Source organism: Homo sapiens, chromosome 7 (genome assembly GCF_000001405.40).
Source record: "Homo sapiens chromosome 7, GRCh38.p14 Primary Assembly".
Taxonomy (NCBI): Eukaryota; Metazoa; Chordata; class Mammalia; order Primates; family Hominidae; genus Homo; species Homo sapiens.
In genome coordinates this window covers 16,082,839-16,107,616 of record NC_000007.14, presented here as the reverse complement: position 1 = coordinate 16,107,616, position 24,778 = coordinate 16,082,839, and the positions used below count along the sequence as shown (strand labels likewise).

Genomic DNA, 24,778 nt, shown 5'->3' with positions numbered 1-24,778 from the left:
CTTTACCAGTTCCTATGAGTATGCCAGTGATGAACTCCCTTTGCTTTTATTTTATGAGAAACTTCTTATTTCTCCTTCATTTCTGAAATATAGCTTTGCTGAATAAAGTATTCTTTGTTGTTTGTCTTTTTTTTTATTTAAGACTTTGAATATATCATCCCATTTTCTCCTGGCATACAAGGTTTCTGCTGAGAAATCTGCTTATAGTCACATTGTCATTCCTTTGTATGTGATATGTTTCTTATGTCTTGCTGCTCTCAGAATTTTATTTATTTTTTGATTTTGATAGTTCATTATGTGCCTTGATGAACTTCTTTCTGGGTTGCATTGATTAGAGACCGCTATGCTTTCTGTCCTTGGGTGTTGGCATGCATCCCCAGAAAGTCATTTCTCAGCCATTATTTCTTTGAAGATGTTTTTGTTTTTTTTTGGCCCTTCTGCTTTCTATTCCGTCTGCAGTTCCCCATTATGTGAATGTTCGGTCCTTTGCTGCTGTCCCTTAATTCCTATAGCCTTCTTTCTTCTTTTGTGTTCTTCTTCACTAACTGTATAATTTTAAATGTTCTGTCTTCCAGCTAATTGATTCTTCTGCTTAATTGAGTCTGCTGTTGAAGGTTTCTTTTGAGTTTTTCAGATCAGTCACTGTATTTTTTATTTCTAGGATTTTTATCTAATTTTTAAAAATTATTTTTATTTCTTTGTCAAGTCTTTGTTTTCCAAATTCCATGAAATTTCCTATCTGTATATTCTTATAGTTCACTGAACTTTTTTGAGTATTATTCTGAATTCTCTTCTTCAGTCATTTCATAAATGTACATTCCTTTGAGGTAGACTATTGGGGCTTTATTACTTTCTTTTAGAGGTGTCACGATTCCCTTATTCTTCATAATTATTAAATTATTATGTCTTTGCATTGTTGTCTGTACATTTGAGACAGCAGCCCCCTCTTCTAGCCTAAGAGGTGTTCTTTAGCAGGGATAGATCTTCACTATGTAGCCTAGACTGTGATTCTGGAAGGGCCAGCTGGTAACAACCCCAGACGGGTAGAACTTGTTGTGAGTTCTCCAGTTGGCTGAGTCACCACCTTTTGCTCAAATGTCAGGTGGGGCTACTGGTTGGGCTCTGCTGTCTGGTGGCTGGGATCTGCTATTAGGCATAGTTTCTGGCTGGATACTGTAGTAGCTTCTGGTCAGACTAGTCACAAGATACACTCCCTGGATGGCCAATTCAACTCTTTGGGATCTATAGCTGGGCAAGGCTGCAGGCTGGACTCCAAGTTTAGGCAGAATTGCTGCTCAGCACAGGTCAGAAGAGAGGCTATGCTCTTTAGAAATGCGTGGTTGACAATTGACTACTTGTCAAGGTGGAGCCACAGGATGGGTTTTTTTTGCAGAATTGAGTGGCTGTTTGACTTCCGTGGTCAAGCAGGTCTAGCTCTTATGGTTCTCCAAATTTTTGGAAATGGGAAAGTTATTGGGTGGGCTTTTAGGCTGGGTGGAACCCCTGAGTTTTGGGTTACAGTGAGTGGAATCACTGCTTGACTTTCTGGGTCAAGCTGGCTACACTTCTCTGAGATGTGCAGATGTGGAAGTCTCCCTGCCTGTGCAAAGTTGTTGGGAGGGCTTATTGGCTTACTGGAGCCACTGTTTGACTTTCTGGGTCAAACTGGTGTAGTCCATTCATTTCTCTAAAATCTAAAGAAGTAGGATTCTTCTTTCCTGAATGGGGTCATTGGGTAGGACTTTTAGCTTCATAGAGGTGCTGCTTGGCTTCCTGGGTCAAGCCAATTTAGCCTCTTCATTGTTTCTGAAATGGAAGGAAGTGGGCACCTTTCTGCCTGTACAGGATCTTTGGGGTGGTCTCTGAGGTTGGGCAGGATGACTTACGATGTCTAGGACTCAAGTTTTGTTGAACATCCCATCAGGCTTCTGAAGGCAACCAGCTCAGCTTTGTGGGTGGGTTATGAGGTTGACTGATATCTGCAATTGGATACCATCAGTGGTAGGAACACAGAGGTACCACCAAGATCTGTGACATGATCACTAGGACCTCTGCCTCCTTTGTTTCTACCTGATCCCAAGTGGTGTAGTCATGACATTTTCACTACTGTTTTCTATGAAATAATAAAACCAAAGTGGGCTTTCTAGGAAGCATGCCAGAATGGTAGGGATGGGTATGACTGTCTCTATTTCACACCCCTGCCATCAACTCATAGAAACTGTGGGGACCCAGGGAAATTCTTTTCATCTGGCATTGTGCCATCTTAGAGGAGGATGAGGGATGTCATAGTTGGAGTGAGATCATTCTTCTTACCTTTCTCATTGTAACTTCATTCGTTTCTATGGACCACATTGGTGTCTCAGTCTTGTTTCCAAGTGTTGGGGTTTAAAAAAAGATATTCTTCCAGTCTGCGGATAGTTGCTAGTTGAACTTTCTCTGGAGGTTGGTGGAGGAGAAGACTTCCCATTTTGCCATCTTGCTGACCTCACCTATTCTACACCTGTATAATGACTTCCACAAAATCTGTTGTGTTTTCTCTCCAGGATTCCCTTATATTTTAAATTAATGCCTTGATGTTTCTGTCACTGTTTTCACTGTTTTCTCCTGAGTTCTAGACATTTCAAGTCTGTCTTCTATGTATATAATACAGTTTTGATGATAAAATAAGTTGTACACTACCTCTAATAAGATTTTTTTTTTCTTTTTTTTTTTTCTTTGAGATGGAGTCTCACTCTGTTGCCCAGGCTGGAGTGCAGTGGCGTGATCTCGGCTCACTGCAGCCTCCGCCTCCCAGGTTCAAGCAATTCTTCTGCCTCAGCCTCCTGAGTAGCTGGGACTACAGGCGCACGCCACCATGCCTGGCTAATTGTTTGTATTTTTTGTAGAGATGGGATTTCATCATGTTGACCAGGTTGGTCTTGATCCCCTGACCTCGTGATCTGCCCACCTTGGCCTCCTAGAGTGCTGGGATTACAGGCGTGAGCCACTGCACCCAGCCTCTAATGAGATTTTTAATTCAAAATACATTTAATATCCACATGAACTCTTCTGACACAAGATTATTCCTACTTTGTGCCCACCTCTATAGTTGAAACATCTTCTTTAGTCTTCCTGAGACTGAAAATCAGAAAATATGTAACATGTTTTCTAGTTGTACTCAAAAGCATCATTTCAGAGAGACATTTAATTGTAATGATTCTTAAAAGTTCTTTCCACCTGGAGAATGACTTCATCTATATGTTGATTTTTGTTCTACCTCCCTATTGGGAAGAATCTCTATAGGCAATAATTCTACCATCTGTGACCTTGAGAAAGGATTGCTTCTGCTCTTGATTCTGGGAGGGAGCTTTGCCAGGCTAGGATTTTGCTAACTAAGGCTGATAAAAATTGGCACTACTCTATTCAGAACAGAAGTATTTTTGCAGGTTGTAATTCATGGCCACCTTCTTGGAAGGAAATAATTTCTAACATAATGGTAAACAACTGTGAAACTTTGAGATTAACACTTTGGATACTAACTATCTACCCATTAACCAATATTCAAAAGCCTAATAGTCATTAACCAGGGGTCTTTTTAACTAGTCAAAAATATCCTTTAAATGATCCTTTTCTTTGCCCCATGTTTCTGCCAAGAAGGTATGTTTGAATTGGCCCATTTTATTCTTTTTTTTGCATTAAGTTTATAATTTAAAATTTTGAAACTAAATGTTATGTGAACAAATCTAACCAGTCTTTCTGCTTCTTGAGAAATTATCAATATTATTCTACTGACACCTGGACCATTAACTAGAGAAGTAACTCTAGGATAAGCTTTCTATCCCTCCTATAAGTTATCATATGTTCTGGAAATTGTATCCATTGCCTAACAACAGCTGGTATATAGCTTTCTATTTATGCAGCCACCCCATTTAAGAGAATGCCTGCCTCATTGTCTGCCCTTATCCCCCAGACTTGGGTGTGTTAGTATAGATTTATCAGTGTCCCTTACACTTACTTCTTAGACTGGGTGTTTTTTCATAGGAGGAAGAATCATGGAGTACAAATTCCTAGTTTTTGACACTGTTTCCAGTTCCCAAGTACAAATATAAGGTTTTTATTTTTATGGTGTTATTTTCATGACAATGTAGCCTTCATCTAAAACCTTTGATATTTCTTTTTTTAAAATTATACTTTAAGTTCTGGGATACATGTGCAGAATGTTGAGGTTTGTTACAAAGGTATAAACGTGTCATGATGGTTTGCTGCACCCATCAACCCGTCATCTATATTAGGTATTTCTCCTAATGCTATCCCTCCCCTAGTCCCACACCCACCAACAGGCCCTGATGTGTGATGTTCCCCTTCCTGTGTCCATGTGTCCTCATTGTTCAACTCCCACTTATGAGTGAGAACATGCGGTGTTTTGTTTTCTCTTGCTGTGTTAGTCTGCTGAGAATGATGGTTTCCAGCTTCATCCATGTCCCTGCAAAGGACATAATATCATTCTTTTTATGGCTGCATAGTATTCCATGGTGTACATGTGCCACATTTTCTTTATCCAGTCTATAATTGATGGGCATCTGGGTTGGTTCCAAGTCTTTCCTATTGTGAACAGTGCTACAATAAATATATGTGTGCATCTGTCTTTATGGTAGAATGATTTATAATCCTTTGGGTATATACCCAATAATGGGATTCCTGGGTCAAATGGTATTTCTAGTTCTAGATCCTTGAGGAATTGCCACACTGTCTTCCACAATGGTTGAACTAATTTACACACCCATCAACAGTGTAAAAGTGTTCCTATTTCTCCACATCCTCTCCAGCATCTGTTGTTTCCTGACTTTTTAATGGTCGCCATTCTAACTGGCGTGAGATGGCATCTCATTGTGGTTTTGATTTGCATTTCTCTACTGACCAGTGATGAGCTTTTTTTCACATGTTTGTTGGTCACGTAAATGTCTTCTGTTGAGAAGTGTCTGTTTATATCCTTTGCCCACGTTTTAATGCAGTTGTTTGTTTTTTTTCTTGTAAATTTGTTTAAGTTCCTTGTAGATTCTGGATATTAGCCCTTTGTCAGACAGATAGATGGCAAAAATTTTCTCCCATTCTGTAGGTTGCCTGTATATTTTGATGATCATTTCTGTTGCTGTGCAGAAGTGCTTTAGTTAATTAGATCCCATTTGTCAATTTTGGCTCTGGTTGCCATTGCTTTTGGTGTTTTAGTCATGAAGCCTTTGCCCATGCCTGTGTCCTGAATGGTATTGCCTCAGTTTTCTTCTAGGATTTTTATGGTTTTATGTCTTACGTTGAAGTTTTTAATCCATCTTGAGTTAATTTTTGTATAAGGTATAAGGAAGGGGTCCAGTTTCAGTTTTCTGTATATGGATAGCCAGTTTTCCTAACACCATTTATTAAATAGGGAATCCTTTCCCCATTGATTGTTTTTGTCAGGTTGGTGAAAGATCAGATGGCTGTAGACGTGTGGTGTTATTTCTGAGGTCTCTGTTTTGTTCCATTGGTCTATATATCTGTTTTGGTACCAGTACCATGCTGTTTTGGTTACAGTAGCCTTGTAGTATAGTTTAAAGTCAGGTACCATGATGCCTCCAGCTTTGTTCTTTTTGCTTAGGATTGTCTTGGCTGTATGGGCTCTTTTTTGGTTCCATATGAAATTTAAGGTAGTTTTTTCTAATTCTGTGAAAAAATTCAATGGTAGCTTGAGGGGGATAGCACTGAATCTATAAATTACGTTGGGCAATATGGCCATTTTCATGTTATTGGTTCTTCCTATCCATGAGCATGGAATGTTTTTTCATCTGTTTGTGTCCTCTCTTATTTCCGTGAGCAGTGGATTGTAGTTCTCCTTGAAGAGGTATTTCACATCCCTTCTGAGTTGTATTCTATTCTCTTTGAAGCAATTGTGAATGAGAGTTAACTCATGATTTGGCTCTCTGTCTATTATTGGTGTATAGGAATGCTTGTGATTTTTGCACATTGATTTTCTATCCCGAGACTTTGCTCAATCCAGGAGCTGTTTTTTTTTTAAAAGATTAACAAACTAGATAGACCACTAGCCAGAATAATAAAGAAGAAAAGAGAGAAGAATCATATAGATGCAATAAAAAAATGATAAAGGGGATATCACCACTGATCCCAAAGAAATATAAAGTACCATCAGAGAATACTATAAACACACCTACACAAATAAACTAGAAAATCTAGAAGAAATGGATAAATTCCTGGACACATACACTCTCCCAAGACTAAACTAACCAGGAAGTAGTTGAATCACTGAGTAGCAAGTTCTGAAATTGAGGCAATAATTGGTAGCCTACCAACCAAAAAAAGCCCAGGACCAGACAGATTCACAGCCGAATTCTACCAGAGGTACAAAGAGGAGCTGGTACCATTTATTCTGAAACTCTTCTAAACAATAGAAAAAGAGAGATTCCTCCCTAACTGATTTTATGAGGCCAGCATCATCCTGATACAAACACCTGGCAGAGACACAACAAAAAAAGTTGTGTCTCAGGCCAATATCCCTGATGAACATCGATGCAAAAATCCTCAATAAAATACTGGCAAGCCAATTCCAGCAGCACATCAAAAAGCTTATCCACCATGATCAAATTGGCTTCATCCCTGGGATGCAAGGCTGTTTCAACATACACAAATCAATAAATGTAATCCATCACATAAATGGAACCAATGACAAAAACCACATGATTATCTCAATAGATGCAGAAAAGGCCCTCAATAATATTCAACACCCCTTCATGCTAAAAACACTCAATAAACTAGGTGTTTATGGAACATATCTCAAAATAATAAGAGCTACGTATGACAAACCCACAGCCAATATCATACTGAATGGGCAAAAGCTGGAAGCATTCCCTTTGAAAACTGGCACAAGACAAGGATGCCCTCTCTCACCACTCCTATTCAACATAGTATTGGAAGTTCTGGCCAGGGCAATCAGGCAAGGGAAGGAAATAAAGGATATTCAAATAGGAAGAGAGGAAGTCAAATTGTCTCTGTTTGCAGATGACATGATTGTATATTTAGAAAACTCCATTGTCTCAGCCTAAAACGTTCGATATTTCAAAGATATCTTAAGGTAAGCTAAAAGGTCACCTCTTTATAGAGTTAATTAGCCAATTATTCTAACTAATAAATATTTACCGAGTGCCTACTGTGGACATAGTACTATGTTTGAGTTTAGAATTTGGAAAAGTTATCTTTTAGTATCTTACGATTTAGCTGAGAAATTAAGTCCTGTAGATTGCAAACCAAATAAAAACATTAGGGATTTTGAGAAAAACTATGATAACATAAATTACTGATATGCAATAAAAAATAGATGACATCTTAAGAGGTAGTCATTACAGCTGAGTCTTTAAAAATTGATGTCAATTAGACAGTTACTGGGAAACCATTTTTCTGGGGGCAGAAATAATAATGATTATACTGGGATGGCAACAAAAGTGGATTCTGAACAGTAAAAGAAAGAGAATTGCAGTTAGAAGGGTTGATTAGGTTGATAGTGGATGACCTTGAAAGCTAACAGGAGTAGCTGAAAATTGTGAGTTTGATAGAGTGAAGGTGGCTATTTTAGGGAGGTTGGAGCAGTAGCCAAAAACAGACAGAAGTGACCAGTTAGAGCATCCTGGAGGAGTCCAGGCATAGGATGGTGTTAATGTAGGCTTACAGTGGTTGGAGCATGACAATAGAAAACTAGCAGGTGTTGGTAATTGCTGGGTGAGTTGTGTAGGATCAAAACATTTTTTGCTAATTAAAAAGGATGTTGTATATGACACTGCTTTTTCAATTTTATTAAGTTGTGGAATTTACTTTATGATTGATTTAAGAAAATAAAATGTAACAGTGTCACAAGTCCCAGATCTAGAAATATTGGATGCAATAATGAACTGTTTGTTCTTCAGGCCAGATGTCTGATGCCTTTTGGCTGTCTACATTTTTCCTCACTGCAATCTGGCTCTGAGCACTGTAGTTTGTGTCTTTCCTACTCTCTGTTCCTGCTCCGTAAAGTATCGGTGCTGCCTTACAGGGTTTTACTGAATTTTATTGACCAACCTTTCCCTTCCCTTCTCCTTCCCTCTTTCCTTCCCTTTTCCCTTCCCTTCCCTTCCCTCTTCCCTTCTCCTTATGTTTTTCCTGCCCTTTTCCCTCCCTCCTTTTTCCCTCCCCTTCCCTCCCCTCCCCTTCCCTCCCCTTCCTTCTCCCCTCCCCTTCCCTCTGCCTTCCTCTACACTCCCCTTCCCTCCCCTTCCTGTCCCTTCCCTTTTTTCCTTTGTTTTTTCCTTCCCTTTCCTTTTTTTCTTTCCTTTTTTTTTCTGCCCCTCTCCCTCTCCTCTTTTTAAAGAGATAGGGTCTTGCTCTGTCACCTAGGCTGCAGTGCAGTGGCACAATCATTGCTCACTGCGGCCTTGAACTCCTGGGTTCAAGTGATCCTCCCCACTCAGCCACCTTCGTAGCAGGAACTACAGGCTTGAGCCATGGCACCTGGCTTCCCAATCCTTTTTTCTTAATTATCTCTTTCCAAAACAGTTATTGAATTCCTACTGTATTGTAAGGCCCTGTTTCTAGACACAGAAAATAAAAAAGACTAAAACTGTTGTGCGATGATTATGTTAATCAGTAAACCCAAGTGCATTTTCATTAGTATTATCTAAGTTTTTGAGAGGCATTTGTTATCACTCACAGGAGCAAGAGGAAAATGTTTCTCATTCGGAGGAGGCTGTTTTGTTTTTCTCACACCCTATCAGTAGGTGATCGCTTTTTCCTGCAGTTTTGGCAATTGACATACACTGAAAAGTTATTTTCATCTCCACTAGGGGACAGTGTGCCCCCGTTAGGTTTTTTCTTCCATATCAGCAAAATGTTTACAAAAAGAAAATTTAGCTTCAAATTATTTTGATTTGATATTAATGATCTTATAACAAGTCTGTTGAAGGTTTAGTAAGTCTAACACTTGTGGTTTTTGTATATTGTATATGGTACAGAGATAGGGATGTGTATATTTATGACTAGATGTAAATATAGCTAGTACATTTTTGTTTAGTGTTTGAAATTTTGTGACATTTAAATAATAATTTTTGCATAAGTTCTCCAAAACAAGGATGGAAGAAGGGTATTAATATCAAACTATGAGCAACCTGAATTTCAGGAGATTTTGTAACTCATGGAAATTGAATTAGGTTTTAGGTATGGAATTTGCTGAGACAATGTAAATGTTTACCCTTAAAGAAACATTGTGTAATCTCTTGAGACATCTAAAGCCTAAATACATATGCATACATTTTAACTTTATAGTTTTCCTTTTAGCAGAGTACATTGTGTTCTTTAGAAGTGATGTGTATAGAGGATAGGTATCTCCAAGAGATTTCCTTTCAGCTTGTCCATAAAGATTTAGAGGAGAATTACATCATAGCTTTTCCTGCTATTCTTTGAGATGGCATTCCACCAAATCCACATAAATTTGATTCTAACAGCCTACTATAAGTTTGTTTACACTTTTTAAATTCAAATGCTGATATGTGTGTAGTTCAATTATGGGATTTATTGTTTCAAAATATACTTTTTAAAAAAGCTTGTCAATATTAAGTACTCTGGGAATAGTTTCTCCCGAAGTTATCCTTTGAGAAAATTGAAAGGGACAGTTAGTAAGTAAGGATTTTTGAGGACATGGGCATCATATAAAGTTGACCACTTATACACTTGCAAGGTGCTACATATTAGTAATTTACATTACTTCAGCCTTTCCTTGCTCAAATTTTGAGGTGGGAGGTGGAGAAGGATGTAACTGAAGAGCCACTATGAGTTATAGAGGTGCCACTGTCATTTCCAATCTTCTGTGAAAATCTCCTGCTTTTCCTGATTTCCCACAAGTTTGCCAAAGGCTTAGGAGTCCCATCAAAGTTTCATCAAGACTTCACTTGATGCTGGATATAGTCATCACAAAAGAACCAAGTCAACAACAAAAAGACAAACGCACACAAAGACTGGCATGTGGGACTTTATTGACACGACTTCATTACTATGACTAAATTTAGAATTACCTTGTATGTTTAAAAGATAATGGTAATTAGAGCTCTTCTTTTGTGCATCTTTCACCCAAACATGGTGTATTTCATCCTAAACTTGAAATTATAGGTGGTAGAGAAATAGCTAAATATAAGTTTCTAGGTAAAACTCATGGTGAATTTTAATCCTAAATAATTCAGTCTGATAATTTAGAAAATTAAAAATGCATATATTATATTGCGTTTTTGTCTTCTAATAGTCTTAAAACACAGCTATTATGAAACTCTTTAAGATCTCAGTGAACAATTGTTACATGCTGGGTAAAATTAAGTACACTTTTTTTGTTATTACTTTTAGATAGTTTTCTTAATATCTAAGAAGAAAGCTAAGACTTTGTGAATTATTAATATGATTCCTTTAGGGGCCTTTTACTGAAGCCTTGAATTTTCAAGCAAAAAAGGTTTTCTTTGTATAGATTTTGAAAATATTTATGGAGAGAAATGCTCCCGGAATTTGGACAACGTTCAGTACTATTGATTTTCTATGACAACAAATCAAGTTTAGCTCCCTGAATTTAACAGTCTTAAAACTAAATTTTAAAATAATTTGTTTTTCCTCCAAGAATAAAATGTGTTCATTGTGGGGGTTTTGAAAATATAGCAAAGCAGAAAGAAGAAATAATATTGTCATAAAGCCATCATCCAAAAATAACTTCTGTCAACATGTTTATATTTTCCCGCCCAGTATGTTAAGAAAGCGGACTACTGAAGAGTATACTGTTTTCCCCCTTTTTAGCTGGTCTCTATTTTTGCTATAATATAGTTGTAACCAAGAAAAAGAGTGAAGCTGGCTGTAATAGTTCACACCTATAAGCCTGGTACTTTGGGAGGATGAGGTAGAAGGATTGCTTAAGCCTAGGAGTTTGAGATCAACCTGGGCAACCTGCACTCTACCCTGGGCAACAAAATTTTCTAAAACAAAATTGACACTGTTATGAAGTGAACAAGATGATAAAACAAATTTTTTTTTTACTATCTTCAAGATTGCTTGTACTGTGTTCTGCTCTGCCTATTCATTATAAAACTAGTCCAATTAATTCTTAATTTCAAGCATTTTATAATTGTAAAATTCTCTTTATTATAGATTCTATGTTGAAAATTTCCATTTTTCATCAACATTTTTATCTCTAGTTCTATTTTTTAGTGTCTTAGGCATAGTTATTTTGAAATCCTTGCATGATGATTCCAATGTATGTCTCATTTCTGGGTCTGCTTAAATTATTTTTTTCTCCTGATTATGGGTGTTTTTTTTTCTGCATCTTTGCTTTCTGCTTCTTTGCCTATCTAGTGATATTTGATACCACACTTTGAGTGCAAAACATTATAAAAGCTCAAGATTATTTTAATGTCCTCTAAGGAATATGAAATTTGTTCTAGCAAGCAGTTGTATTGCTGAATCAATTTGATCCTGTGGACGTTGTTGAAGCTTTCTTAGGGCTGGTCGGATTCAGTTTTGCCTTATACCCAGGCTGTAGTCATGGCTTTTCAGATATCCCAGCTGAAAGCCATGGGTGTTCACCAAGGCGTCTTCATTCTAGCTGGACTCAGATTTAACCTCCTGCTCCTTGGCACAGTGGGGCCTCAAAAATCTCTCCTCAGCTCTCCAACTTTCCAGCAGTTATTCTCTGCTAGGCCTCGTTGAGTTTCTCCTTGGGCATGCACAGTTAGGAGCTGGCCAAGGACTGAAGGAATTTTTAGCAGATTTTTAGGAGTTCTCAGCAATTCCTTCCTGTCAGGCATGCTGCCTGCAGAAATACAAGCCACTTTGACAGCTTTAAATTGTTAATCTATGTCTTTTCTACCCAGAGAGATTGCTATGCTCTCCTTGGGTTCTGTTTCTCTTCTTTGTAGATTGGAAAAAAGCTCTCAGCATGACAGCTGGGGAGAATGTTAGGAGGCTCTTCTTTCAAGGATTATAGACATGCATATGTTACTGTCCAAGACCTGCAAAAAATATTCTCACATAAGTTTTCCAGATTTAATGGCTATATATGGTGAGAGGGTGATATACCCTACTCTATCATAGCTGAAATTAGTTTACTTCATAAAGGTAATAATTCTAACTGCTATTATTATTGAATATTTACTAGGTATCAGTGCTTTACATGTCTTATCTAAGTTCCCACAAAAAATGTTATCCCATTTTTAGATGAAAAAAATGGAGAGCTGTACAACTTCAGCTGTTTGCTCAAAGATCACTTAAGTTGTCAAGGCTGTATATAAATAGCAGCAATCTGACTTCCCAACTGCATAGTTTATTAAAGGAATATTGTACGTTTTTCAAGGAATATATAAATGGTCCAGTGTGCAAAAATAAATTGCCTTTGTAACTCAGGTTTTGTAATCCGGAACATAACATTTGTAAATAGTCATCAATTAAAAAATATCTTTTTGAAAGGAGTATGCTTCAGTTTATAGATATACAGACAAATTCAGAGGATGCCGCAGAGAGTTCCCATATACTCACACCCAGGTTCTCCCATTATTAATATGTGTTCGTTACAATTTATGTACCAACATTGATGTATTATTATTAACAAAGTGCATAGTTTAGTGAGATTTCCATAGTTCTACCTAATGTGTTTTTCTGTTCCAGTACCCCATGTTACTTTTAGTTCTCTTCAGACACCTCTTGGCTGTGACAGTTTCTCACACTTTCCTTGTTTTTTGATGACCTGTACAGTTTTGAGGAGCACTTGTCAGGTATATTGTAGAATGTCCCTCCAACAGGAACTTTTCCGATGTCTTCCTCATGATTAGCCTGGAGGTACAGGTTTTTGGGAGGAATACATAAATGCTATTTTCACATAATTTCAAGAATGTATACTATCAGCATGATTTTTCACTGTTCATATGGACCCTGCTTACCTGAGTTTAATAAACATTTTAAATGTTTATTATATAATATTTGGAACTCACAAAATAATGTGTATATACACACACACATACACACACACACACTTATGTATGTGAATAATAAAATGATCTCCTGTATTGCACCTCTGCTCCCCACTCTCCTCAAGGATTAAAACCATTTTTTTTGTATGTTTGCTGGAGGCAAGAAGTGCTTTTATAAGATACATTGGGTTTGCATTTTTTTCCTGTGTTAATACTGTTCTAGAGATAGGAAATTTTGAGATGAGTTTGATATCCATGAATTGTGTGACTATCTAATCTTTTCACATACTAGAGTTTCCTGAATATATGTGTGTCTAACCATCTTAATCAGTTTTTAAATTTCCATGTTTCATAAGGGTAGAATGATCAAATGAGTTCAGGCAGAGAGGGAAAACAAATGTTCAGTAGAATGACATAGATTCTTGTCCTTCAATTCTAATCTTTGAAAATGAAGCCTGTAAAAAATTGAAGAAGTAAATTAATCTTTAAAAGGACATCTTAAATTCTTTACTAAAAATATGTACATTATGGAGCTATCAAAATGAACATAGATGATTTATTGTAAGATATAGAAATGTGATTTTTCTAGCCCTGGGATCCTAAACAGTTTTTCCTTAATTTCTTCATTTGTTACTGTGCTGCCTTCATTATAACAAGTATAAACTGGTTTCAACGGGGTGATAGAGACAGACTTGTTCTGTTTATTTTTGAAAGAGGAACCTTAATTATCATCATCTGTGTTATGTCTCAATTTAATAAATGAGACTTAGGAATAGATGTGTGTTATAGACCCTGCAGCACTATAATTAATTGATCATTAAGAATGACAAATGCATATCAATAGTTGGTTTGTATTTGCTCATTTTAGAATATTTATTTATATGTTTATGAATGATGTGACACAGATGAAATCTCTCATATAAATCAATCATATTTTAAGTCCAAACATATATAGTTTTTTGATTTGTTTAGATGTGGTTTAGGTATCGTGATATTCTGGAAACCAAAATGGTGTTTGAATCCAATTTTAAAATGTCGTATAAAACCCGCTTTCAAGAAGTGAAGTAGCTGACATTCAGCATCTTGCAGATCTTCTCCAGCTCCACCCCTCAGAACACAATCAAGGAAATTGATAGAAAAGAGCACTTTAAGCAGAGATGGCCTCTCACCGTCATCCTCATAGCTGAGGAACCCAGACATAGGGTGGTGGGAGCATGTAATGGTTGTGGTGAGGCTTCAATAATATATTTATTTTGTACTATTGCCAGGCTTTAGGCTAAATATGCAAATAGGAGTGAAGAAGGTAAGCAATTGCAGTCCGTGTCAACAACTGAGCTCAACTAAAAGGGTGATATGTCTATCATAATCAGAACCTCTTTTGCTTTGAATTTGTTATAATTTATGGAGTGCTACCATGTGTTAGGCATTGAGCAAAGTGTTCCATATTCATAGATAAAATGAAAAATTCTTTACATCAAAAAATGCATCATCTGGTAAAATAGATGGTCAACTAAAAAAGACTATAAAATTCGGTGTGCTAGAGGAATTCACAGCTGTGGAAACATAGAGTCACTTCACCCAAACTGGACTGGAGGATAGAGTCAGGGTAGATTTCAAGAATCTCTGATACCTAGGTTGAACCATGAAGAGTAATTAGGGTCAGCTAAGCTAGAAAGGGTGTGGGAAAGCTTTTCTGGCAAAGGAATTAGCTGGCCCAAAGATATTCAAGCTCAGAAAAACAGCTTGTTTGGACAATCTTAAGCAGTTCTATGTGGCTTGGAGAATTGAGTAATTTTAGGGGAATATCAAGAAGAGGCCGAGAGGATAAGAGACATTTTATTACCAGGTAATGGGATCAGACTTTATCCTGAGGTTTAAAAGTAGTCTTCAAAGGATTTTAGTCAGGATACTGATGTGATCAGATCTATATTTTAAAATAAGTATTTTGACTTCCCTGTGGGAAATGAAGTATAAGAGGGCAAGACTTTAGAGGGACTATCTGTGAGAATATTCCAGTAATTGAGGACAGAAGGTGCTATGCTGGCAGTGGCAGTTTGAGCGGCATTATCGCTAATGCCTTATCTCAATGTATATGGATGCAAGAAACAATAGGAAGGAGCTACAATAGGTCCTAGTAATATATTGGATATTGGGATAAGGCATTAAGGATGATTCTGGAGTTTAGAGATTGGTTACCACATCCCTCTTTTAAAAGATAGCACAATTCACAACACAGAGACCTGAAAGATATTAGCTCTGTTTCTATTTTCCCTTCACATTATAATCTTCTCATAAATAATTAGAATAAATGGATTCTTACAGGCAATATGATTTCAAAGGCAAAACCACTTTTTAGCAACTTGTAAAATAACTCATTTCTTGAATTTTCCCGATTCTTACTTTACAAACAGCAAGCAGGGTTTTCCCCCCTATACCGGTACTCACAAACAGTTCATAACAAAGTTGGAGAACACTCAGAAACAAGATGAAGAAAAGGATTGCATCATTGATGAAATATTCACACTTCAGTGAAGAGCCAAAGGTTGTCAGAAATTGGATTAAGGGGAAATAATCTTTTCTTTCTGTTAGCATTTGAAATTGTGTCAGTGTTTTTCCTTGCATCTTAAGCAAATATTTTTTGGTCTATAATGAAAAGTGTTTGTGAAAGTATTTCCTCTTTATTCGGGGAACCGTGTCCATGACAGTGGCTAGAGTCTGAGTTTCTAAAATGCCAAATCCAGACCGCAGCAGATCTTGAAAAGTGGCTTTTTATCAAACTTAACACATGGCATATGTTTTTTCTAAAATATTACTGGTTTATCCTTTCTTTTCAGGATGATCAGAAGCTACAGGAGAGTTTAAGGCAAGGTGCTATCATTATTGCTTCATTAATCAAGGAAAGAAATTCTGGACTCATTGGTCAGCTTCTGATAGCATGAAGAACACAAAAAATTACCTATTTTCTAAAACATCTATTTGCGTATCTTAATTGTGCTTTGTGCCCCCGCTGCTGTGTGTGGTAGAATGTTTCAGTTGTCTTTTATATCTTCTCTATAATTTGTAGGATGTGATGCTTAGATTATAAAGCAGATTAATGTTTATATCTGTGAAATAAAGAATACTTTTGTGTATGACAAATATTAATTGCCTGAACCAGAAAAAAATAGTAGATAAGTGGAAAATAATAGCCTTCAAATGAATCTTTCCACAGAGACATGAACGGTCAAATAGAAATAATGATGGGGTGAGCTATTCTTTCAAGGAATGAGAATTTAGAAAACTTCAGTTATTATCCTAACTGTTAATTAATAATTTACACTATTATGAAGCTAATGGATAAACTTCAGAATTATTCTCACTTCTATAATTGTCCTGTCACCAGGTGATATTTTGTCTTTTTGTCTTGTGTTAAAAATGTCTACACTTTAATAAAAAAGGGTGAGTGGGATACCAGGGAACGGAACTGTTTGTTTCTAGCATTTTCCCCATTTGCCACATATTACTCAAGATCCCTAAAACAGATGTCATTTCCTTCTTTTCTGTTTTTAAATTGTATGTTATTTTTGGTTTATGAACTATAATTATGACTTACATTATTTTAAAGGGTCTCTAGTTTTTCTGAATGAACTTAAAAGTGTCTGGAAAGTTTCGTAGGTGATTCTGGTCAATCCCTGGTTAGTTATCTTCTATAAGGTAGAGAATCTATTGTACATCATAGAGTTAAATTAGTTATTTCAATTCAGATACTGCTACCTTTTAAAATCAAGTTCTTATTTCCAGTTTTCATTGGTATATACATCTGAAATATTAATATTTTCCCTTGCATGTTATAATTATGGGTGTCCTTTAATTCATTAGAGGTGACTTTTAATCTATACATACACTTACTCTATTTATTTTATTTTTTATTGTTTTGAAATGCAGTCGCCCTCTGTCAGGCTGGAGTGCAGTGGCACAATCTCAGCTGACTGCAACCTCTGCCTCCTGGGTTTAAGCAATTATCCTCCCTCAGCCTCCCGAGTAGCTGGGATTACAGGCACCTGCCACCACACCTGGCTAATTTTTTTTTTTTTTTTTTTTTTTTGTATTTTTAGTAGAGAAGGGTTTTCGCCATGTAGGCCAGGCTGGTCTTGAACTCCTGACCTCAAGTGATCTGCCTGCCTCGGCCTCCCAAAATGCTGGGATTATAGGTGTGAGCCACCATACCCAGCCAACATACATTTATTTTATTGAAACAGATTAGGGCTTAGGCTGCACGTGGAAACTATAAAAGTTGCATGAAGTGTTTTCAGTTAAAGATACACTATACAATATCTACCTTGTGGAATTTTTATTTAACATGTTGGGTGATTTTCCCTCTAGTGTTCAAGTATATATATAGTAGGAGAGTTTATATTTTACATTCTCCTAATTGAAATGTGTTATTTGAATGTAGGCTTGTATCTAAATTCCTGGGCCTGCCCTTTTTCTCTCTCTAGGAATATTAAGAAATTTAAAATCCATTAATTTAAGTTTTTGAGGATGGAAATAGGTAAGCAATGTGTGGATTGTGGTTAGGAATGTCTGTGCCTTTGTTCAGATGTCGGCTGTGTGTGTGACGAAAACCACAGCTGCCAAGTCCCCAACATGCACCTGTTGAAGTCATCAGGTGAAAATGTTTAAGACTTTGAAAGTGCTCATAAAGGAAGAAGGGGAAATGTTATCAAGGCTTTAAAGAGAGGGTAAGTGCCTTGAAGAAGAATGCAGTAAACTGGGCATATTTGTGGCACAGCAAAATCACCCTGATCGCTGGAGTGCTGGCTGAGTTAACATAGACTTCAGCTTAAGGAATCCTACAGCAGACAAGAATTTATCTCAGAGTACTTACTATGACATTACCCTAGGCAACTGGTAACATTTAGTATAATTTAGTTAATAAAATATTAAGTTGTGCCTGGAAAAAATAGCATTTGGTCCTTCATAGCAGGCAAAGCAATTCACAGCATTGGGAAAAAAAAATACATACATACATATACATGTATGTATACCCATATATATGTATATACATGCATGTATACCCATATATATGTATATACTTACATGTATATACATATATATGTATGTACGTACATATATACCCATATCTATGTATGTACGTACATATATACCCGTATATATGTACGTACATATATACACATATATGTATGCACGTACATATATACACATATATGTATGTACGTACATATATACACATTATGTACATACATATATACGTATATATGTACATGCATGTATGTATGTATATACGTACGCATACACACATATATTTATATACGTACGCATACACACATATATGTATATACGTACGCATACACACATATATGTATATACGTACGCATACACACATATATGTATATACGTACGCATACACACATATATGTATATACGTACGTATATACACACATATATGTATATACGTACGTATATATGTATTTTTATGTTTTATGTATATGTATTTTATATGTATATATATCTGCACATCCTTCACTATTTTCATGAGGAAATTGGAGCTCAGGGATCTTAGTTACCTTGCCAAAATCATGTGACTGAATAGTAACAAAAGTTTGGGCTTAAAATAAGGAAGACTGATAATAAGTGTTAAGCTTATATTCCTGTCTAACAATGACCCCTGGCAAAGACATCTGATATATAAGCCACGTCTGATATATAAGACGTGATATATAAGCCAGAGGCACTGAATGAACATTGGCGAAATGGACAAGAAGGGTGGGACACTTATGTCCAGGGACTAGGTGAAAGTCCTGGAGCTTTTGGCTTTCCAGCCACCTTCCCAGCATAAAGAAATTGTAGCTAAAGTTAAGGGAATGAATAGAAGTATTGGCCAAAAGAGAAATTATTTTGTTGTTTAAGAGATCTGGCCGGGCGCGATGGCTCACGCCTGAAATCCCAGCACTTTGGGAGGCCGAGGCAGGCAGATTACGAGGTCAGGAGATCCAGACCATCCTGGCTAATGCGGTGAAACCCCGTCTCTAGTAAAAATACAAAAAAAATAGCCAGGCATCGTGGCGGGCGCCTGTAGTCCCAGCTACTCAGGAGGCTTAGGCAGGAGAATGGCGTCAACCTGGGAGGCGGAGCTTGCAGTGAGCCGACATAGCGCCACTGCACTCCAGCCTGGGCAACAGAGCAAGACTCCGTCTCAAAAAAAAAAAAAAAAAAAAAAAGAGAGATCCAGAGGTAACTTTACAGTTACATTTTCATCACTGCTTCTGTAAATTTACTTTAGTAAAAGCTGTCTATTCTCACTTTATTTTCCAAAATCTCTTAAAAAATAATAGTGATTATGCTTCAAGGTTTCTGAAAATGCTTCCACTTGTGGGAAATTTTGTTGCAAAATGGTTTTCTTTCTAAACTTACGCTAGTTAGTTAAATGCAAATTAAAGTTAGTCGTCTTAGGAGTTCATCATAGCGTGAGTAATGGTTTGATTAATGACATTTTGGTAGAGGTCCTATTTTTTTTCATAAAAGTGCTCAATTTGAGATGACTTGTTGCAAGTATACTCATTTACAGGTAAGAGTCAGCTCCCTATATTCTCTCAGAGTCATTGTTATGGTTATTATTGTAAGTATTTTACATTAATTTAACAGAAATTTTTTCTTCCCTAACTTATAACTCAACTTTATGTAAATACAGTGATCATCTTATAAAAATCAAATTACAGAATGTCTTAAAATCTGTAAATTTGACTTTGTTTTAATGTTGAAACTACAAATTCACAGAGGCATAAATCTAACATCTTAATTAAAATGTCAACCATATGCAAGAAGAAAGATAGAAGTTATTTAGAAAGTTTAATTTGAAAACAGAATAATGAAGCATTTTAATTGATATAGGATTTGTTAGTATGGCTTAAAATCAGTGGACTAGAAGTAGCTGTGTAGGTGGTGGTTGGCATTATAGTTGCATTTATATATGTTCTTATTAATTTCAGTTTCAAAATTGTAAGAAGCATATGCATATTTTTAAGGTGACATTGAAAAGTACTATAAAGATTCTAAATATGTTGTTTTTACAAAACAAAATGTAAATAAATTATTGATTTAAAATCTAATGGCATTTTCTTTTTTTTTAGTTTATACATGTTTTTTCAAACTCAGTCACAATTGAATCACTAAATGTAACATTCTCAGAATATAACGTTGTGATGGTTTATATTATATAAAGATATAATTTGAAGTCCAGATCTATATTCTCTAAATATATATATATATACACATATATACCTATGTATGTAAATATATATATTTTATAGTACTCACATATATATATAAAATTACATGTATAAACATATATATATAACCATATATATATATATTTGATTATGAAACCAGAAGTCTTAAATAGATTTCCTCTTCTTCTCCTAGTTGTTAGCAATTATAGTGGCTGCTAAGGATATAAAACCTATACTTGGGCACAGTGGAGAGAAGTATTGTGATTACTTAATCTCTGTAATGAGTTGAATTATTGCTCAGAAATAATCTTTTCTTCCCATTGCCTTCTGGAGAAATATTTGTTCAGGACTTTGGTATTCATCATGTGACCTGCTTTGGCCAGTACAGTGGGTCAGAAATGTCAGTGTGCCACTGAGACTAGACCTGCAGAGACCTTTTGTATTTCTACTGTCTCTCCTGCTTCCACCCCCACCACCATGAGAAGAACATGCCCAGCCTAGCCTGCTGCCTCCGGAAGGAAGTCAAGAGCCAACATCAGCTGAACTCCAGATAACCCATAAATGGATGAAGGGCCCAGCTAAGATCAGCAGAGCCACCTAGCCCAGTTAGGTTGACCTCCAGCAGATGTGTGAGCCAAATAAATGCTCATACATTTTGCTAGTACTGAGTTTTGAGTAGTTTTATTGCACACCAATTGGTAACAAAAGAAAATCTTTGGCAATGTGAGGTATATTTGCCTTCACAAATCTAGGACATATCCAGAGACACACATTTGCTAAAGCAGAATGCTTATAAAAGAATTGTTAGAGCAATGATCCCAAAGTACTAGAAGGTTCTGAGGATCACTCATTTCCTACTCAATAGTTTTTAAAGGAGAAAGATAGACCTGAGTGTTTGTGAAAAGGTTTTGAAAGAGGTGAAACTTTCTTGGATATGAGATTATATTGAGTTAAATATATGGGCATTTAAAATAATAAGTAATAGAAATAGCAAACTTGCTGAATGATTACTATGTTCCCAAAACTGTTCTTAGTATTTTACTTGCACATAACTTCTGTATTCTTCATAATTACTTTATGTGGTAGGTAGTACACCTATAACCATTTAAAAGGTGTCAAAACCGGCTGGACGCAGTGGCTCACGCCTGTAATACCAGCACTTTGGGAGGCCGAGGCAGGCAGATCACAAGATCAGGAGTTCGAGACCAGCCTGACCAACATGGTGAAACCCCGTCTCTACTAAAAATACAAAAATTTGCCGGGTGTGGTGGTGTGTGCCTGTAATCCCATCTACCCAGGAGGCTGAGGCAGAAGAATTGCTTGAACCTGGGAGGCGGAGGTTGCAGTGAGCCGAGATTGCACCACTGCATTCCAGCCTGGGCAACAGAGCGAGACTCTCTCAAAAAAAAAAAAAAAAAAAAAAGATGTGAAAACAAAGGTACATACATTTTGAATAACTTATTCAGAGTTAGCCAAGCAGCACGTGGGAGGAATGAGATTCAAATTTGGTTATTGAGCCCCAGAGCCTATATTTGTGAGCAGTATGCTATGCAATATTTAAAAACATACTTTTTTAAGATCCCTTAAACTAATGACTCTCAAAGATGAGACCTTTTTTTTCTTTAATAACAAGAGAAATAAAATGAGTAAAGCCCATTACTTTTCAGTGTTTCAGTACTCTTCCTTTCCCCATCTCCATCCCCAAAAGACATATTTTAGAACATCCTTGGATCTGTATGTGCTGGTGAAACCAATGAAGACTGATAATGTACATAAGATTATTATCAGTGCTATCTCTGTGAGCTCTGAAGTTGTTGGGATTTCCTCAGGCAATGAATGATGAGATACAGTTGGATAGTGAAAGTGGAAGATGAAAACATGGAAGCAAGCACTTTCTTGATGGACAAGAGATGCATGTAGCCATTTGTGCCTCAGCACCACAGCAAGACATGAAAGAGAGTTGAAATCTTTTTATCCTTACAGGAGAAAGAAAGGTTCAGAGAAGTGCCTAGGAATGAGAAGGTATAACGTCTTTCTTTGTCTTGGGATTCTCTTAATCACATATGTTACCAATGTTTGGTCAGCAGGAAAATTTTGGGGTGAATGGTGCCTAGTTTGATGAGAGGCCAGAGTGGAGCCAGGTTGTTTTCCCTTATCTGAAACATTGGAATCATTTAACAATGTCTTCACAGCTGAGATGTATTATGCAAATTAATTCTCTACTTAGGATGCTACCAAATAATCTGAACAGTTGTTAAAACATCTGGGTCTGTTTAGCAGCATTGATGAAGCCTGGCTTGTCAAATGCATTTTTTTCTTTCGATTTAATCTTAATTAATCCTTGCAGGATCTCTACGAGGTAGGTCTGTATCAACCTTTTGATATGACAGTTGCAAAAAGGCAGATGCAGAGATTAAGAACTCGTGATCGCTGGGCACACTGGAAGCCAAACTGGAATTCTAACATTTCTAACATAGGACAATTTTGGACCAATAATAGTCCATCTACTTTGAATAATTTTTTAGGGAATTGGATCACATATAGGAAGGACTGTTCTTAAGGATTAAAAAGCTCGATTTAAATCTATATCCAGAATTTTACCTGGATGCATTCACTTATTTTCCATTTTGCAAAATTGCAGTTAAGCCCAGAGGCAAAAGCTTCAACAAGACAATCGCAGAGATGGTTGTGACTCGAGTTGGAGACATGATTTGGGATTCTAGATAGAGGCCAATTTTGTAAGAATTTCCACTAGTCTGCAGACTGTAATAATTGTGTTATTTGGATAAGGTTTGGCAAAGCAACTAGTAAGATTAACTGAATGAGTTTTCTGGAGCTTTGCCATTTGGCGCTATCCATTATGTTCTTTGTTCTACCTCATTATAAAATGGGCTATTGAAACTGAAATTGGTTGGTTTATTGGTATGTCAGGTTTTTATTTCCTTTTTTTTCCTTTCCTATTCTTCACATCTGAGCTCTTAATTTGGTTGAAAGCAAGCTCTTCAGCCTAAGTGGATAAAAAACATCCCTTTGAGGATGAGGAAATAGACGATAAAATCTGTGTTCCTAATTTTCTTCAATAGTTCGGAGGATTTTTTTTTCATCCTGTGTGTGTTTTTAAGACCTTGTTAAGTTCATAGTTCTTTTTTCTTTTATTGTTTGAATAGAGCACCATTCTCTTTAATCCCACCTGAGTTTCAAAAATGTATTATTGAACTGCCCAGTTCAGGAATTCAGTTGCCTGTTTTACTGAATGGAGGTATGTATGACCCGATGGTAAAAGAATGTTATTCAAAGACATTTCCGCCTGTTTGTTTCTTGGATCAGTTACTATTCACATAAATCTGGAAAGAAGCCAAAATATGTAAACAAATTAAGAGTTTGAGGATCCCAGTGGGAATATCTATAAGTTCTGCTATAATACAGGAATTTAAGATAAATGAAGATAAATGCAGTATGTTATAATAAGATAGCCAGGAGAAGCAACTATAGACCAATTATTCTTGGCTCTGGTTTGGGAATCTTAATGAATATTAAAAGATTTGGGTTAATCATGGGGTTATGCATAATGTTACTCCTTCCCAAGCCTATATATGTTGCCTAAAGAGAATTTCATTTTCATTTTACTAGCTTTTAATTGTTGCTTAATATCAAACAACTATTCAACTTAGAAGCTATATTCTCAAACCCTATTACATATTTAAAATATGCAAATTATTTTTATCATTAATCTCTTTATATATTACATAAATCAATGAATACAGTAAAGTGTAGTTTGAAAGACTGGAGATTTTCCTCCAAGAGCTTTTTTGATGCACTGTCTTCTTGAAACTGTCAGTCTCAGCCTGTGAACGAAAAGCTGTGTTAGAAGAGATACAAAGTAATGTGGTGTTCTCTGGTCGTTTTATTACCTTTGACCCAGGGCTACAACTTAAATGTAAAACTCCCTCTTAAAAAAGATAGCACAAAAATTTAATTTTACCAGTATGACATGTCGATTAATTTTCGTGTGAGTGTAGAGAAGGAAAAGTGTATTTTTTTGGTAAACATTTTCTAGAAAGAGTTGGAAAACAATTTTATTGTGAGTTTGTGCTTTGTATGCATATACAATAACTTCTAGAGACTGGGTGTCACTGATTTGGCAAAGCAGGAAAACAGTCAATGAATATTTCTAGTGCATATGTATACATAAGAAATACGTGTTTATACCTAATAATTATACATACACAATTAACGATACTCATTGGCAATGCAGGTTAAACACATTTTTTTTTTTGAGACGGAATCTCGCTCTGTCCCCTAGGCTGGAGTGCAGTGGCGCGATCTCGGCTCACTGCAAGCTCCGCCTCCCAGGTTGATGCCATTCTCCTGCCTAAGCCTCCTGAGTAGCTGGGACTACAGGCGCCCGCCACCACGCCCGGCTAATTTTTTTTTGTATTTTTTAGTGGAGACGGGGTTTCACCGTGTTAGCCAGGATGGTCTCGATCTCCTGACCTCGTGATCTGCCCCCCTCGGCCTCACAAAGTGCTGGGATTACAGGCGTGAGCCACTGTGCCCGGCGGTTAA

The 24,778-nt window shown here is 36.6% G+C and overlaps 1 protein-coding gene across 4 annotated transcripts in view, besides 1 other annotated feature; it reads left to right on the top strand.

The window, feature by feature from the left end:
* The window catches only part of CRPPA (CDP-L-ribitol pyrophosphorylase A), a 334,014-nt gene extending 313,922 nt beyond the window's left edge, over positions 1 to 20,092 (top strand). For all 4 annotated transcript variants that reach the window (NR_160656.1, NM_001101417.4, NM_001368197.1 and 1 more), the window contains one exon: positions 15,818 to 20,092. Coding sequence is in view for 3 of the 4 variants with exons in the window: in NM_001101417.4 (NP_001094887.1) it covers positions 15,818 to 15,922 (105 nt within the window). In the remaining variant the exon portion in view is untranslated. The remainder of the gene's footprint in view (positions 1 to 15,817) is intronic.
* Positions 15,646 to 15,846: a silencer, noted in NCBI's record as "peak6410 fragment used in MPRA reporter construct". NCBI's record gives its function as "represses an SCP1 promoter by STARR-seq MPRAs in K562 erythroleukemia cells {active_cell/tissue: K562}" and the evidence as "EXISTENCE:reporter gene assay evidence [ECO:0000049][PMID:32103011]".